General features: G+C 37.1%; 2 pseudogenes across 3 annotated transcripts in view; both read right to left on the reverse strand.

Moving 5' to 3' along the window:
• Nucleotides 1–18191, reverse strand: part of PARGP1-AGAP4 (PARGP1-AGAP4 readthrough) — a 146781-nt pseudogene that overhangs the window by 49556 nt on the left and 79034 nt on the right. For both annotated transcript variants that reach the window (NR_160518.1, NR_160519.1), the window contains exons 6-7: nt 17283–17358; nt 13016–13163 (exon numbers count right to left, since the gene is read on the reverse strand). The product of NR_160518.1 is annotated as a PARGP1-AGAP4 readthrough, transcript variant 1 (transcript). The remainder of the gene's footprint in view (nt 1–13015; nt 13164–17282; nt 17359–18191) is intronic.
• Nucleotides 1–18191, reverse strand: part of PARGP1 (PARG pseudogene 1) — a 117594-nt pseudogene that overhangs the window by 20315 nt on the left and 79088 nt on the right. The window contains exons 10-11 of the transcript NR_029388.2: nt 17283–17358; nt 13016–13163 (exon numbers count right to left, since the gene is read on the reverse strand). The product of NR_029388.2 is annotated as a PARG pseudogene 1 (transcript). The remainder of the gene's footprint in view (nt 1–13015; nt 13164–17282; nt 17359–18191) is intronic.

Here is an 18191-nt window from a genome sequence, read left to right on the forward strand (position 1 = left end):
ATGACATGCTGCCTTTCTATGTAATTTTAAGCTTCTTACCTTAGCTTTCCATGCCATAAGCCTAAACTATCTTCCCAGACTTTTCTCCCACACCTTCCTTATATGTATCGTATAATCAAACAGATACATCAGAAAATTCAGTCCATCCTTAAGGTCTGGCTCAACTGTTATTTATTACTTCTTTCCCTTTTCTAGAAATTTTCCTGATTTCTCTGTCCTGGAGGTAATTTGGTTTGGTGAGAAAGACAACGGGCTTTGGACTCAGACTAGAGTTTGATGCACTAGAACATGACAGAGCTGTGTGAGCATGTGGAGGTAATTTAACTTGTCTGAATTTTAGTTTCTTTGTCTATAAAACAAGGGAGTACCAGTCTACTACCTTCAGAGAATGGTAAATGAGCTGACCTATATAAAGGATGTGACCTCCTTTCTACTTTAAGCGTATTTTGTACAATTTTTAGCGGAGTTAACACAGCTTTCCTCTTGGAAGTCAACAGACAATATGTAAGACTGAAAAGTCAAGAAAAATCAAGATAATAATATTATTTAAAAACATGAAAATAAAAAATAATGAATTAAAGCAGCCTAGGCATGGTAGCTCACATCTGCAATCCTAGCACTTTGGGAGGCTGAGGCAGGATGACTGCTTGAGCCCAGGAGTTCAAGACCAGCCTGGGCAACATAGTGAGACCCCATCTCCAAAAAAGAAAAAAAAAAAAATAATTAGCTGGGTGTGGAGGCGTGTGCCTGTAGTCCCAGCTACTCAGGAGGCTGAGATGGATCACCTGAGCCCAGGAGGTCAAGGCTACAGTGAGCCTTGATTGTGCCACTGCACTCCAGCCTGGATGACAGAGTGAGACTCTGTCTTAAAAAAAAAATTAAAATAAGCTGGGAGTGGTGGCTCACGCCTGTAATCCTAGCACTTGGGAGGCTGAGGAGGGTGGATCACCTGAGGTCAGGAGTTTGAGACCAGCCTGACCAATATGGTGAAACCCCGTCTCTACTAAAAATACAAGATTATTTTTAGTACAAGATCTTCTTAGGATTATTTCCTGGACAGTATATAGTGATGTTACAACCCCAGTGATTTAAAGCAGATCTCTCAAAGCAAAGGAGGAATGAGCTTTTGTCAGGATGCTAGTGGCATGTCCTTAGTATTAGAGGAAAACAAAGAACTAGATTCCTTTTGTTTGCCCCCAAATCCTTTAACCTCTGAGACTTACTATAAATGATTTACCTGTTTACACTATGTCATTGTGTTCTCTCTGGGTAAGGCTCTTAAGGCCTTCCACCCAACTGAATCAGGCCCACCCAGATTATCGCTTACTTAATGCAAATTGTATTGAATGTGGCTAAGCACAGTGGCTCATGCCTGTAATCCCAGCACTTTGGGAGGCCGAGGTGGGGAGATCACTCGAGGTCAGTAGTTCGAGACCAGCCTAGCCAACATGGTGAAACCCTGTCCCTACTAAAAATACAAAAATTAGCTGAACATGGTGGCAGGCACCTATAATCCCAGCTACTTGGGAGGCAGAGGCAGGGGCATCACTTGAACCCAGGAGGCAGAGGTTGCAGTGAGCCAAGGTCACATCACTGCACTCCAGCCTGGGCAACAGAGTGAGGCTTTGTCTCAAAGGAAAAAAAAATGCTTATTGAATGCAATAAGATTAACTCCTTTACTTGTAGACTTTGATCACATCTATAAAATACTTTCACAGCAATACCCGAATTAGTGTTTGACAGAATAACTGGGGGCTGTAGCCTAGCTAAGTTGACATTAAAAAAAAAAAAAGACTATCACAAAACTAAAGGTGGAAACAATCCAACTATTGATAAAAAATTAACAAAACATTTGCCACGATCACACAAAGGAATACTCCTTAGTAATAAAAGGGATAGAACCACTGACACATTAAAAAACATAGATAGATCTCACATTACGCTAAGCAAAAGCAGCAAGATACAGAAGTGTGTATGACATATATTTACATGACATTCTAAAAAAAAGAAAAAAGTAATTTATAATGAAAAGAATAAAAATTATGGTTGTTTCTGGGGTTGGGGACTGACCAGAAAAGGGCTCAAGGGAATTTTCTGAGGTGATAGACATGGTTTTTTTTTATGTCTTGATAGGGGTGTGGGATATAAAAGCATATCAATTTGCCAAAACTCACCATATTATCCACTTAACATTGTATACTTCAATGTGTGTAAATTTTACTTCAAAAATAAAAGAACTGTAAACAAGTAATGAACTCTATTTAACAGGTTTACTTTTTGCAGTGGCATGGTTTAGAAGTTCTGAAATCACCTTTTGTATATATTAGGCTTAAACAAATGAGAAAAATTGAAGATATTGGGAACCACATTCTTCATTGTTGGAGAAGAGAGTTCCAATTATGGAAAGGGGGAAAGACTATAATATAGGCTGTGATGCTGGTTAAGAATGGGAGGTATCAATATAAATTCACAGTTGTATATGTGTGTGTGTGTGTGTGTGTGTGTGTGTGTGTAACATATATGTTCTAGTTCAAATCTTGGCTTCCAAAACTAACTAAAATCCAGGACCACCTGCAGAAATGGCTGATTCCAGAGCTGGTGCAGGGAATATACAAGATGAGCCTACAACATCTTTTTGTGCTAAAAAGATGGAGATGCTCAAAGAAGAAAGTGCATTAAAGAATGATGGGCACATGTCAAAGGCACACAATAGTTAACTTGAAGGCATTCCCACTGATGGAATATGGGACAATTTAGCACCAAACAGAAAATAGCAATGGATCATAATCCACTGAATACAATAAGAATGCAAGTGTCTATACTTGCATATATATTAATAAATAATAAATATTAATAAATAAGTATACACAAATAAGGAAAAAGGGAAAATTCTTCCTTATAGTAGAATGCCAACTACTAAATGTAGAAAGAATGGGAGTTTAAAAAATTAGCAATGACTGCTAAAATTAGTAGGTGAAGGTTTTATGAGGACAAGATGTTTACAGTTTCAAAGTATATAAAATATATAGCGATACATTAATTACAGAATGAAAAAGTATAACCTGACAGTGGAGGAACCTGGTCAACCCAACTTAACCAAGTCATTACACTGGTGTCACAAATATTGGGACAAAGTGCTATCACATGTCTCCTCAAAAGATATACTAAATAGAACACAGTATCACTTCAGTGGGATTCCTACCGAAATGAATAACCTGAACCTAATTAGGAAGAAGCAGTGGGCAAACACAAGAAGGACAATCTACAAAATAACTAGCCTATCCACTTTAGAAATATCAAAGTGAACAAACACAAGGAAAAGCTGAGAAATGGTTCCAGTTTAAAGAATACCAAGGTATGAGCCTGGACTAATTGAAGACTGGAAAGAAAGCTACAAAGGTCATAATTGGAATAACAAAATTATATTATAATATAGATTAACTAACAGTACTGTATCAAATTAAATTTCCTGATTTTGATAACTAACTGTGCTGTGCTGATGTAAGACAATGTCCTAGTTCTTAGGAAATATACAACAAAGTATTTAGGGATAAAAGGGCACAGTATCTCCAACATATTCCTAAACAATTCAAGAAAAGAAAATAGAGAAAATGATGAAGTAGATGGGACAAAAATGTAAACTGGTGAATCTGAGTAAAGAGTATATGGAAATTCCATGTATTATTCTTACAACTTTTCTGTGAATCTGAGTAAAGAGTATATGGAAATTCCATGTATTATACCTGCAACTTTTCTGTAAGTCTGAAATTTCATATACATACACATAAAAACACGTAATATAAGGCCGGGCGGGGTGGCTCATGCCTGTAATCCCAGCGCTTTGGGAGGTCGAGGCGGGCGGATCACAAGGTCAAGAGATCGAGACCATCGTGGCCAACGTGGTGAAACCCCATCTCTACTAAAAATACAAAAATTAGCTGGGCGTGGTGGCGTGCACCTGTAGTCCCAGCTACTCAGGAGAGGCTGAGGCAGGGGACTCACTTGAACCTGGAGGGTGGAGGTTGCAGTAAGCTGAGATTGCGCCACTGCACTCCAGCCTGGTGACAGAGTGAGACTCTGTCTCAAAACAAACAGAAAAACACACAATAAAAACCACATAATATAAATAAAGCTATGAAAATACTCTATTTTCATATATGATTAAAAATTTCCAGAATCAAAAGTTCCAAGATTTAAACTCAATACTAGAGTTTCCAGTCTATTATTTAATATACTACTTCTAAAAATAATTTGTATTTTAATTATTAGACATTTATCTAGAATTTTGGACAAGATATTCATGCTAAAAATCAAGAAAATAACTAGAAAATTTATGTTATTTCTTTTATGAAGCATTCCTTGACACCATAAGTAGGGTTGATTGTTCTTCCTCCATGCTCCCAAGGTATTTTGCACATAACATTGGTAGAGCACTTAGCATATTGAATTGTAATCTGAAAATCAATTGCATTTCCACATAGTAGCAATGAATAATTAAAAACAGAAATTTTAAAAACTTACAACAGCAACAAAATTATGAAATACGGATAAATCTGACAAAATGGGGAAGAATTATACAATGAAAACCATAAAATACTAATATAAAATACTAGTGAGTAAAACTGACATGAATAAACAGAGACATACATCCTAGACATGTGTCAAAGACAAAACATTGTTAAGATGTCAATTCCGAGGTGGGCGGATCACCTGAGGTCGGGAGTTCGCGAGCAGCCTGACCAACATGGAGAAACCCCGTCTCTACTAAAAATACAAAATTAGCCGGGCATGGTGGCACATGCCTGTAATCCCAGCTACAAGGGAGGCTGAGGCAGGAGAATCGCTTGAACCTGGGAGGCAGAGGTTGCGGTAAGCTGAGATCACGCCATTGCACTCCATCCTGGGCAACAAGAGCGAAACTCCGTCTCAAAAAAAAAGTCAATTCTCCCCAAACAGATCTACAGATTCAAAGCATTCTCAAAATTCAGCAAGCTGTTTTGGTAAACATTGAAATACTGATTCTAAAACTTGGCAAAATGACTCTGAAGGAGAAAAAAGTTGAAGGACCCATACTACCTGATTTTAAGACTTATTATAAAGCTATAGCAACCAAAACAGGAAGAAAGAAAACAACACATTAATAAGCTTACTTCAAAACTTAAAACTTCTGTGCTTCAAAAGTCACTGTGAAGAGAATGAAAAGACATGCTAGAAATATCTGATAAAGGATTTATATCCAAAATATATAAAGCTTTCAAAACTCAATTAAAACAAAAAACAATGAAAACTTAAACAAAACATAGCTTCATGGGTGTAGTCATACGTCCAAACTTACATAATTGTATAAACAAATAGTTTATTTTATGTCAATTATACCTCAATAAATCTGTCTTAAGAAATGGAATCTGACTCCCTCACTAGACTCTCAGCTCCTCAAGGGCAGGGATTATAAATTATAGGCGGGGTGTGTTGGCTCATGCCTGTAAGCCCAGCACTTTGAGAGGCCGAGGCAGGAGGACTGCCTGAGCCCAGGAGTTTGAGACCAGCCTGGGCAACAGAATGAGACCTTGTCTCCACTGAAAATTAAAAAAAAAAGTTAGGTGGGTGCAGTGGTGTGAGCCTGCAGTTCCTGCTACTCAGGAGTTTGAGGTGGGAGGATCCCTTGAGCTCAGGAATTTGGGGTAACGGTGAGCTAGGATTGTGCCACTGTACCCTAGCCTGGGTGACAGAGATCCTGTGTCTAAAAAAAGAAAAAATAAATAATATTTTTATCTACATTAGCATCTTGTAATGCAAGAATATAAAAGCAGTTGAGTAAGAACTTGCCGAATAAACATAATAATTAATGAGCCAAAGAAATTTAACTGATGATTAAAACAATGAGTCCAGAAATAATCCGAAGGCACTACATAACTGACGCATACTAAAAATTCACATCTACAATAAATGCATGGTATGGTAAAAAGAGCACTGCACTGAGATTAGGAAACGTGAGAAACTCAAAGTGGATCTTCACTAGCTAGGTGACCTTAGATAACCAAACCTCACTGGACATCATTCCATCATCTGAAATTCAGGGTTCTTAATAATTCTTATTTTGTTTACATCATAGAATTCCTTGGGAAACTAAATAAGACAAGTAAAAAATTCATTCAAACCCACAAAGCCATCAGTATTGGTGTCATTAGAAATAAATTTTTTAAGGGGGTAGAGAAACCACAGATACGTGATTCTATTTACTCGAGGGTGAAAAGCAACCTGGTCTACTTGCCTGATAGGAACCAAGACAGCAAGGACTACTCCTTCTTTTCTGTTTTCTGCCTAGCGGTAGACAAGCCTCGTTTTTCCTGTTCATAAAAAGACAAACTGCCTATTCTGATCTGTTAACTCGGAAAACAAATACTTGTTCTGTCTTTTTAAAAGAAAGTGGCTGAAAAATATAACATATCAATTATCATGTTTCTACTTCATGTTAATATAGTTTCAGTGTTCTTCTCTGAGAGGAACAAGGTTAGATTTACTTCCTTCCCTCCTTCATGGGAAATAAAAAATACACATACAAACACTTTTGTACTAAACAAGTTAAACCCTGGGTTTTCTAAGTAGACACCTTTTAACATGCCAACTGTCTCCTTCGAAAAAAGTGAATGCCCTTAACTTGTTTAAAATTTAAATTAATGAACTATGATGAAAATATAAAGGTAAACTGGTAACAGCTACTGAGACAGAAGACTGAATGACCTTTGTGATAGCTCTCACTAGGGATGGGCCTTTAAGACTTCATAGTCAAAGACCTTCACTTAAGGAAAAAACTAGAAGGAATCCATTAAAATCTTATGAGGAATTCATGACCTCTTCATGATTTTTTAGATTTAGTAGTAAGAAACATGGTTATTTTCCCTTATTAGGAATAAGAGTTTGTAACGATCATGGGAAAAAACATTCGGAGATTAAAAAAAATTCTACTTACCAATGGATTGTTCCCTTGGAAAGCAGGTTTATATAAACACCATTTTACCCAAATTTTATTAGCATCACTCAAACAGTAGTGATTATGCAGTAAATAGAAAACTCTTGCTTTTAATTCTAATGATTATTAAAAACTTAGAAAAGACAAGCATAAAAACGTTTAATTTCCAAACATTTTTGGAAAACTCCAACTGAATTTGGACCTTTCCCAATGAGCTGGTGTCTTGACAGGCACCTCTAGTACTTTAACTCTAGAAGATGTCACCAGTACTATAAGCAATGGTGTCTACTTGTTATCATTTCTATCAGCTCTGCTGACATTTGGAAAAGATGTAAAGATTTGTGATGTCTGGGATAATCTGATTCACTAGAGGCAGGTTTTACGTTAAATACAGGAATACTCTGCCCAGTAGGTTTCATGTCTAGGCACCTGGTTTATGTGCTCACCAAACAGAAGCAGAAAAACAACTCTCAGAAAACTTAACACCCTTTAGTATTGAAACTATTTTCTGGATGTTGTACAGAAACAAGTAAGAGAAGACAAAAAAAAAAGAAGAAATGGGAAGATTGGAATTTTAACTCTTTCCCTCTATCTATACTTACTGAAAGGTTTTTAACTCATGGCTGCCCCAGGCAGGATCACAACAAACAGAGGGATAACACTGTCTGTATAAAAGTATTTGCCTGTTTGCATGACCTGTTTCATATTCTTTTAAAATAATGATACCAACCAGATGTCCCACAATGATGATAAATTTAATTTATTTCCAATTTCTCAAACTCTTCTACAGATTCAGGCAGCACAGTCACAGCCATTAGCTCACTGAGCTGGATGCATCATTGAAGGAACAGAATTGATCAGGCAGATAGATTGCAGTGCATGGCTAAGAGTCTCCTAAGGAGGGAGATGGCAGAAATCCAGACATCAAATAGATGATGAAATGGCCATTTCCATTAAGGTAACATCACATCACAGATATTAATTAGGAGGCACTATAATAAAGTTAAGTGGATGTGGGGGGAAAATGCTGAGTTAAAAGTCACCCCATATGTCCTTAGCCTGAGGTAATTACAGATCTGAAGGTGAGTCATGGATCTGCAATTTTCCATTCATTTTACAATAGCTGCAGGAACGTTTAGAGATTACGTAAAAGGAGATTAGAATCCTTTTTTAGACTGGGGACAAATTATCTTTAAAAAAAGAAAATATTCTTATGTTTTCCTTTTAACATTCCTGTTTTATTCCCAAGGAAAATGACATCCTTTATTTACATTAACATTAATGGAGGATGACAATGTACTGACTACTTTCTTCTTCTTCTTCTTCTTTTCTTTTTTTTGAGACGGAGTCTCACTCTGTCACTCAGGCTGGAGTGCAGTGGCACAATCCCGGCTCACTGTAACCTCTGCCTCCCACGTTCAAAAGATTCTCCCACCTCAGCCTCCTGAGTAGCTGGGACTACGGGCACACACCACCATGCCTGGCTAATTTTTTGGATTTTTAGTAGAGATGGGGTTTCACCGTGTTAGCCAGGATGGTCTCAATCTCCTGACCTTGTGATGCCCCCTGCCTCGGCCTCCCAAAGTGCTGGGATTACAGGGGTGAGCCACCTCGCCCAGCCCAGTTCTTACTACTTTCTAGAGAAATTAAGCAAATGAAACAAGTTAGCTTTAAGTTTAAATGCATTTTACCAAGTTTTTTATTTCAAGAATGTAAATTCATCTTAAAAACTGATGGGATATTTTGTTCTCAGTGTTCAATCCAAATCTACCTTAAGAGCTAAAAAAAAAAATTTTTTTTTTTTTTGAGACAGTCTCGCTCTGTTGCCCAGGCTGGAGCACAGTGGTGCGATCTCGGCTCACTGCAAGCTCCGCCTCCTGGGTTCACGCCATTCTCCTGCCTCAGCCTCCCAAGTAGCTGGGACTACAGGCACCTGCCACCAGGCCCAGCTAATTTTTTTTTGTATTTTTAGTAGAGACGGGGTTTCACCACGTTAGCCAGGATGGTCTCAATCTCCTGACCTCATGATCCGCCCGCCTCAGCCTCCCAAAGTGCTGGGATTACAGGCGTGAGCCACTGCACCCAGCCGGAATAACAATCTTTTAAAGTATTATTTGATGTACGTAAATGATGAAGACAGCCATATTCCAAACCTGCAGAGCTTCCCTACAATAGTATGAGACCAATAGCCAAAGTGCTGGTTGCTCAACAATAGATTTATGCCAGTTTTTTTTGTTCTGTAATTCCTTGCAATCTTATCTCCCCTAGTACCTTGCCCAATTATATACCTCCCACGTGCATCCATGATAACTAACAAATGCAGACAGATGGCCAAAATGTGAGTTGAGGAAGTGTTGAGTACAAAAGGAGTTTATCTTTCCATTTCAGTATAATTTGGATCATAATCTCAGAATTCTGAATGCAGTACTCCAAGTCACTAACTTCAAATGGCTGACTGAGGCTCTGTCCAGGAAAAAAATTCCTTTGCGGAAGTTCCAATCTTAATTTCCTACATAAACTCAGACAATTTACAATTTTTTATTTTTTGCCTTACTTCACCAAAAAAGCAGAATCACAGGGATAAAAATTTACATAGGATGTCTAAATGATGTAGAATAACTCATTGAAAGCTCCTTTATCCACGGGTGCTTACAAAAGATAAAAAGATATCAGTAAAAAATGGTGCAGTAAAAACCTCTGAAAACTCTCTCCTCCATGAAAGCAATGTGAACACTGTGATGAGCACTGTGAGAATCAACTGAAAAGTAGCCAAAGGCTTGCAGCAATCCAGGGAGTGCTTATTCAAGAAAAACCAGCTGAATCTTGGTAAAAACAATAAACTTTGCAGTGTTTTATTTGCCTTATTCCCATCCCACTCTCCCAAGCTCCATCTCGGCCTTAAAAACTAACCTTCCTGAATCACAGTGAAAATCAGAAGCCATCAGAGGGGGCAAAAGAAAGCTGAAGCTCCTTCAAAGCCCAATTCTCAGAGAACTGTCATTATTTGACCTGTCTGGTGGTCCCCTGGAGGGCCCCGCTCAGAAGGCTGTCTTTACTTTACAGGACTTGGAGCTTGGCCAGTAGGAAAAGCATAATTCTTTTGAGGGTTTGATGAAAACAATTACAGGGATTGTTTAACACTGAAACTTCTTGAGGTGGTGGCAAACAGCTGGGGCAAACAATAGGCTAACCAAAAGCTTCAAAGGAAAAACTGAAGAATGAGAATGTCCACAAAGGGCTTTGAAAAGTTCTAATATATTAAAACAAGAAGGAATCTAGAGGGCTCATGCGTGCCCATGGCCATATGAATGCTCAGGAAAAACTAGAGAAAGCCCTCAGCTCTCTCCTCTGCCTGACCTTGACAGGAAGTGAAGGCTAAGGCAGAGGCATCAACTGCTTAGTGCAGTGTTGAAGGTAGGCTGCACCTGCACATACAGCCCTTCAACAAAGACTATTAGACTTCGTTGAGACTTATTAGTTTCAGGCATCTAAGGAAATCTGTTCAAGCATTAGCTGACTACTAATCTAACAAGCAGGGACTTCACTGGCCACACACAGAAAGAACACAGACATCACAAAATTAGTTTAGAAAAGTCATTGAAAAAACAGCAAGAAGGATGAACTGTGATGAAAAGAGAAAATCTGATTTCCAGGGTCACATTACATTATTTTAAATGTCCAGTTTTAAATGAAAATTAGAAGACATGGAAAGAAATGAGAAAGTATGGCCCATACTCAAAAAAAAAGCAGTCAGTAGTAACTGCCCCTGAGGAGCCCAGATGTTGGACTTAGTAGACAAAGAATTTACATCAGCTATTTAAAATATACTGAAACAACTAAAGAAAACTATGTCTAAAAAACTAAAGTATAAGAATGATGCCTCTCAAATAGAGAATATTAATAAATAAAGGGATAGAAATTATAAAAAATAAACAGAAATTTGTAATTGAAAAGTACAATAACTGAAATAAAAAATTCACCAGTGAGATTAAAAGCAGTTTAGAGCAAGCAGAAAAAACAACCAGTGAACTTGAAGACAGGGCAATTGAGACTGAGCCTCAGGAACAAGAAGAATAAAGAATGAAGAAAAATAAACAGAGCTTCTGAGACCTGTGGAACATCAAGTGAATCAACAAACACGTAATTTGGGAGTCCCAGAAGATGAGGAAAGGGGAAGAACAAACATTTGAAGAAATAATGGCCCAACATTTACCAAATATAACAAACATTAGAGAGGTTCAAAAAACTTCAAGTAGGATAAAGTCAAAGAGATCTGCATGTAGACACACCATATTCAAACCATTGAAAGTCAAAGAGAATCTTAAAAGCAAAACATAAGAAAATATACTCTTCTGAAGGTTGTCTACAAATCTATCTGAGGCACAGTGTGGCTTCAAGATTAGACTTTGGAGTCGGTTTTGTCATGTATGTCTTTGGAGGTAATGCGGTTGGGTACACATTTTATATAACTCATGGGGAAGGTTTTTCTCCTATTATAATTTTTGGGAATAACAATAAACTAAATTCTACAACCCAGGTGAGTGTTTAGACCCCGAAACTCATCTCCAAGCAGTAACAGATTCTAAGTGGAAATAAAAAATCCACTTTTTCAGGAAAAAAAAATAGTACCAGCAACTCATGGTGCATTAACGGCACTTATGTGGGAATATTCTTTTACGTACTTGAATAAAAGACTCAACTTACATATGGTGCCTGATTAAGAGTTTCTTAAGAGATATGAGGTAATCATCATTTTTCTTGATAGCTTATTCAAAGAAAATACTGTTACATAGTGATCTCAGTCTGAAGAAACAAAAAAAAATTAAATCTCTATAACAGACCTAAAGCATACACGTGACTAAATTTCCCCCCTCCTCCTCCCATATTAGCGTAAAGAAATCAAGAAGAACAAGAAGAAACACCAAGATAATCAGACTTTTTTTTTTTTGAGATGGAGTCTTGCTCTGTCGCCCAGGCTGCAGTACAGTGGCGCGATCTCAGCTCACTGCAACCTCTGCCTCCCGGGTTCAAGTGATTATCCTGCCTCAGCCTCCTGAGTAGCTGGGATTACAGGCACCCGCCACCGTGCCTGGCTAATTTTTGTATTTTTAGTAGAGACGGGGTTTCGTCATGTTGGCCAGGCTGGTCTTGAACTCCTGACCTCAGGCCATCTGTCTGCCTTGGCCTCCCAAAGCGCTAGGATTACAGGCCTGAACTATCGCGCCTGGCCATGATAACTGAACTTTTTCTTTTAGGATTCAAAATAGGGTAAACAAAAGGTTACTGATTTCTCTAAATACTGTTCCTATGCTTCTTATATTTACACAATGTCTTCATACTAAAGTACAAGAAACCACTTGAAAATTATTTTTAATAGAAACAAATCACTCTCAAATGGAAGAATTACAACAGAATACATACTAGAGGCATATCACTATGTTCTTCTTAAGAGCATTATTATGTCATAAAATTTCAAACTGCCAAGCGTGGTGGCTCACACCTGTAATCCCAGCACTTTGGGAGGCCGAGGCGGGCGGATCACCTGAGGTCAGGAGTTCGAGACCAGCCTGACCAATATGGAGAAACCCTGTCTCTACTAAAAATACAAAATTAGCCGGGTGTGGTGACGCATGCCTGTAATCCCAGCTACTCGGGAGGCTGAGGCAGGAGAATCGCTTGAACCTGGGAGGAGGAGGTTTTGGTGAGCCGAGATTGCACCATTGCACTCCAGCCTGGGCAACAACAGCAAAACTCTGTCTCAAAAAAAAAAAAAATTCAAACTGTGGGGTAACTGAATAGTTTTTAATCCCTCTTCCTCAGATAAAGATGCCACGAAAGAAAGAAAAGGTAAAAATAAGATGTCTTACTTAAGATTAGGAAAATAAGGCTGTAATAATTTCAAAAACTAAGTATAAATTAATGGATAAAAATATTGGGACTGATGCCCATGGAAGATAAAAGCTATACTGGGTAGTCTCTAGTCTTCATGACAGATATTCACAGATGGGGAAGACTACCCCATTTTCCAGGCTTCCCAAAACTAACCTGTGATAATTAGACATTCATTGTGATCCAGCACCTCAGTGAAGAGCCGTGAAATAATCAACTCAGGATTGATTAAAAAGCGGATTTCTTCTTGCACAAGTCCTGCACTGGTTACACCACCTCCAACAAAATGATTTGCAAAATCCACCTGTTGGGGAAATGTGACATTAAATAATGGTCAAAAATACCTACACATATGATCAAGAAGCACATAGTCTCTAAGCTCTCATCTTTTCCTCTCCCATGAAAATCAATCCCCAAATAAGTAATCTTCCCAGGAAGGGCAGATTTTGGTTGCTTAAGCTCTTTCCACCTCACTGCAGTTAACATCTCTGCACATTTTTCTGGATCCCAGAACCAGAGAAGCAATCTGGAAAATGGAGCTTTTAGGCAAAATATTATGAATCATACAGACTCTTGTTTATAAACCTATTTGTGTCTCATGGGCCACAAATCAAGGGAGGTCTTTATCTGGGAAGGTTTCAAAGTCATTCTCCCCCATTCACTACTCAACTTCCCTTTATGTATTTCACGTGACTTTAATATAATTAAACTTTTCTTATGTAATATGGTAACCAAACACTTGCCCTAAAGAACTGAAAAGTTTAGTAATCAACTTTTTGGGTAACCTTTTCCAACTTTATTGTAAGAATAAAGAGATCGAATTTTTGTCCTTCTAAATTCAACCCCAAACCCCAAACTACATGAACATTACAAACTACTTTTTAAAAATATAACTAAGGAAAAAAGGAAGAAAGAAAACCCAGTATAGCAACAAAGATTCAATTAAAGTAATATTTCCAATTAGGTTGGAAACTCTTAAGCTTTATGTGGAGTAGTATGATGGGATCCCCAAATGCCTACTAATAAAGAAGAATTACACAATCCTCCAGAGAAAGCAAACTCAACTTGCTGGCATTATTTCCGTTTGTCCAGTGTGTCCAGCACTATGCCAGCCTCATGAAGCAGTATGTAAGAAATAGCAACCATCTTTTCCTTAGTGAGACTATCTGAGGAGTTAGATCACACACACACACACACACACACACACAACTTGTGTATATACATAGTCATACACACAAGTAAAATAGGATTTACTAAATACCATGAGGCTTATATTCTTTCAAACTATTTTAAAATATACGATTTCTTAAAACTTCAGTGTTCTCTAAAGCAACTGATACTAAATGACAATCTGAAGCCTATTTTACAAAATAGTAAAACAATAGTATGAATCGTTTGATATGTAAAAATATATGTCAAAAGACAGAAATTAATAGAAGGCGAAGCAGTCTTCTTTTACCACAGGAGAACTTAGAAAATACTAAAACATACCACTGAGGAGTTCTTCAATTGAGCTACCAGAGAGAATCATATATTTGGATTTGTGTTCTGGAGTACTAAAACCAATGCTAAAAAACCAGAGTAACTCTTTAGCTTAAATAGGAAAATAATTTTGGTGAAACCAGTCTGTTGATTAGAATTAGCTACCTACTACATATGAGGTCTATGGGCACTGGGTGATTCATGGCTTAAACTGTCCAATTCAACAACTATTTACTGAGTATTGTGCTGGGAATCACTGGATACAAAGATGAATAAGATATGTATGGTTCCTGGCCTCACGGCATTTGCAATTTAGATGGCAGTCAGAATGAGCATAAGCAGAATGAGAAGATGATTATTGAAGAGCTTGTTACTATGTATTTGATACTTTCTAATAATACAATTAACTAAAATTGGAGCATGGGAGGAAGATAGGAAAGCTTTACAAGGGGATGTGGCAGCTGACATGCAGGCTGAGGGCATAGCTGCACAAGGACACAGGGCAAAAAAAAAAACAAATGTAAATCACTGTATGAGGGGAATGGTAAACAGATTCATTGTGCTTGCCTGCAGTGTAGAGTAGGTGGAGGCTTACAGTTGGTGATGAGGTGGTCTGAGGTCTAGGGAATTTTTACTCAATTTCCCTCTGAAGGTTCTGGGAAAGATTCAAGTAACACCTGGACCTATGTTTTAGGAAGATAATTCAGGCTAGAGTTTAAAGAATAAATGGAAAACTGTAAAACTAAAAGTAAAAATGCTGGTTAGGTGAGTACTAAATAGTTTATACAGGCACTACTAGGGCCTCAAACAGGAAAGTGGTAAAGTAAAGGAAAGAGAAGAAACTCGGTAAAGAAATAAAATGGACTGTACTTGAGAACTAAGAGACTGGCTGAGTGCCTAAAAGTATAATGATATTGTGACTACAAATGAGAAACAGATGAGGTTTAAGATTGGCCTAACTTAATTTTTACTGGAATAAGGTACATAACAAAAATAAAAAGATAAGCTCTATCCAACTTATGTACTACTTGATAATGATGATGAAATACATTCAATGTGTATGTTATTGTTTACTCTTTGAATAAAAGGCCCACATTTTTAACTTGAAAGGTGTACACAGAAATAAAGACACTAAACTCAGTATGCCTCTAAATGCCAGAGTCTTTTAGAAAACCAAAGTTTTACTACTTAAAAAAGTTCTTAACAATAAAGACCCTCTACAACAGTTGAGAGACCTGTTCCAGTACATGAAAACAAGAATGTGAATGCATCCTTATTTTTAGCCAGTTATTTTCCAAGTCACTTTAAAGCTACTCATTCAGATTACTCAGCTTCTGAATTATAACTTGATGAAAAGACAGGAATGATAAAGCTCCTCAGAGAGGTTTTGTTGTTGTGGCCATTCAGCATCATGTAATTTATATGCTACACAAGGAGCTCTGTAGCATTGCAATACAATATTCCCCGATCTCCTGCGGAGACATGGCATGGGTAGGGAGAACAATTAATAGAAAGAAGCCCTTACGGTATTCTCTAATCTACCGAGGTCTCACATTTCCATCTATAATATATTCCAAGGAAGTGGGGAGGATCTCAACCTTAACTGTTGTTAAATAATTCCTTGTTGAATTGTATTGTAATGAAAGGTCAGCATTCCTGTGGTGCTAACTAGCAGTAACTTTGTTTAGTTCATGTGTATTAAGAATCTCTCAGTTTATCCAAGACTTTAAAGATGGAAAGAACTTCATCAAGAGGGGAATGTGGGGGAAAAAGTGATACTAATTTGAACCAATATTTAAGCATATTTTAAGATTATTTTTTAAACAGAAAAAAGGTATAGGAGTAAATGCAAATTTAAATATGTTTTGTTTTTGTTTATAAGCTCAAATAACCACTGGGAGAAGGTGATTTAGAATAAAACATAGTTTGTCTCTTTGAAGATTTTAATTACAAATATGTCCAAATAAAAGGCCATTTAAAAAAGAATCTCAGTTTCATTTAAATAATAACTAGACGTAAATTTTATAGTGAGCATTAAGTTATTCAAACAAATCAGTCCATTTTCAGGCAACTGCTTTCTTTAGATTCTGAACCAATATAAGCACCAAATAAGAATCTAAGAAGAAAAATAAACTATTATCAGTATAAATGAGATGGTATACAAGCTTCTTTCAAAGAAAACTCAGTTTACAATGCTCTTATAAATGGGATAAGAACACAAAACACTAACATTAGTGAATTTTAAAGAAGCATTATAAATCAAAAGATTAGGTTAGATATTACTATATTTTAAACACGGGGCTTTTGTTAACCCCCTTCTCCAAAAATACTTTTTAAAGGTAAAGGCGGTAACAGATTATTAACAAAGATTGAGAAGTGGACCAGAATTACCTGCTTTTAACAGGGAAAAGACATAGCAAACAGCTAGCTCACGTGCGTGAAACTGTTACATATGAGAGAGAGGCCTTTCTTATCAATCAGTTTTAGACGTCTGCCCCCTCAACCTAAACAAAGCTGTTGGTGGCAGAAAAACATCTCCATCTGGTCATCAACTGGGGCAGAGCAAGAAGAGCCTTTAAGGAAAAAGAATAAAAATGCCTGGTGACAGTCTGTCAAGACTATACCCTGGGAACTTCCTCCACTGTCAACCTACTATCAATGTCTGAACCAAGAGGCTGATGCTGTCCAGATCTTGGGATTTTCTGTCAAAGGCTTTTTAGAGAAGCACATATAAGAAACAGAGAGTATACACTGGCAAATCACAACATTACCAAGGCTGTCAAAGTGATCTGTTTGGTGTTTTTCTTCATTCTGCTATCATGCTTCTTTGCATTAAATCAGTTTAGGAGACAAATAAACAGTTTTTCAAATTTCTTTTGCTGTCAGAAGCTTGACAAGAAAAAGTCCTAACCATACACAGACACTACTAAGATTCACCTACCTGTAGCATGCCTCGGCCATTTTCTTCTATGGTACCTTCGTAAGTGACATGCAATCGTGTCAAGGGTTTTTCACATCTACAATATAAAAAGACATTCCCTTATTTATTATTTTAATGACAAGTTGTTCACTGCGGACAAAAGTGAAAATATAGGTAACTATTCAAAAACCGAAACCACCCCAAATCTCGAAAGTCAGAAACAGATGCCTACTGTTAACATTCTTGGTATTGATCCTCCTTTATTCAAACATGTAAATATACATATTTAAATTAAAATTGGATAACATAGTTTGAAACCTGATTTTCCTCTAAATAATATGAAAGTTTTTCTTCTTTAAAACAGTTGAAAAACATTACAAAATATTAAAAAAAATTAAGATCTATGAAATTTTGTTATGGCTAGAGTTGGCAATCTGAGGAAAAATGTAGAAAAATTTGGCAATAAATCATATATGATTCTCTTCTGGCTTCCATTTTCTATTTTCACTGTTTCATAACCGTGTGTGTGTGTGTGTGTGTGTGTGTGTGTGTGTGTGTGTGTGTCTTGATGAAAATACCTGCCACAGAAATTCTGAACAATGGTATTTTTCTATTAATAAGGTTAACAGATAAACTTAGTACCTGTAATTTAGAAGGCATAATTATTTTCTTTCCCTTTCAACCATGGCCACTGAGGTATTTACTTGACTTATGTTATATTAACAACAAATTCCATTGTATTAAAAGTATTTGTTAACATTATTTGCCTTATTAGATATTTTTCCCCTGATCACTTACTGAATAAAAAATATAAATGAATGAAACAGAGGAGATCCAAAGTTCTAACTCACATAAGAGTGCCCATAATCTTTTTTGGGAGGGAGGAGATGATTATATTTTTAGAAAATAGTCTAGGAGGTTAGCTGGAAA

This window comes from Homo sapiens, chromosome 10, assembly GCF_000001405.40.
Source record: "Homo sapiens chromosome 10, GRCh38.p14 Primary Assembly".
NCBI classification, from domain to species: domain Eukaryota; kingdom Metazoa; phylum Chordata; class Mammalia; order Primates; family Hominidae; genus Homo; species Homo sapiens.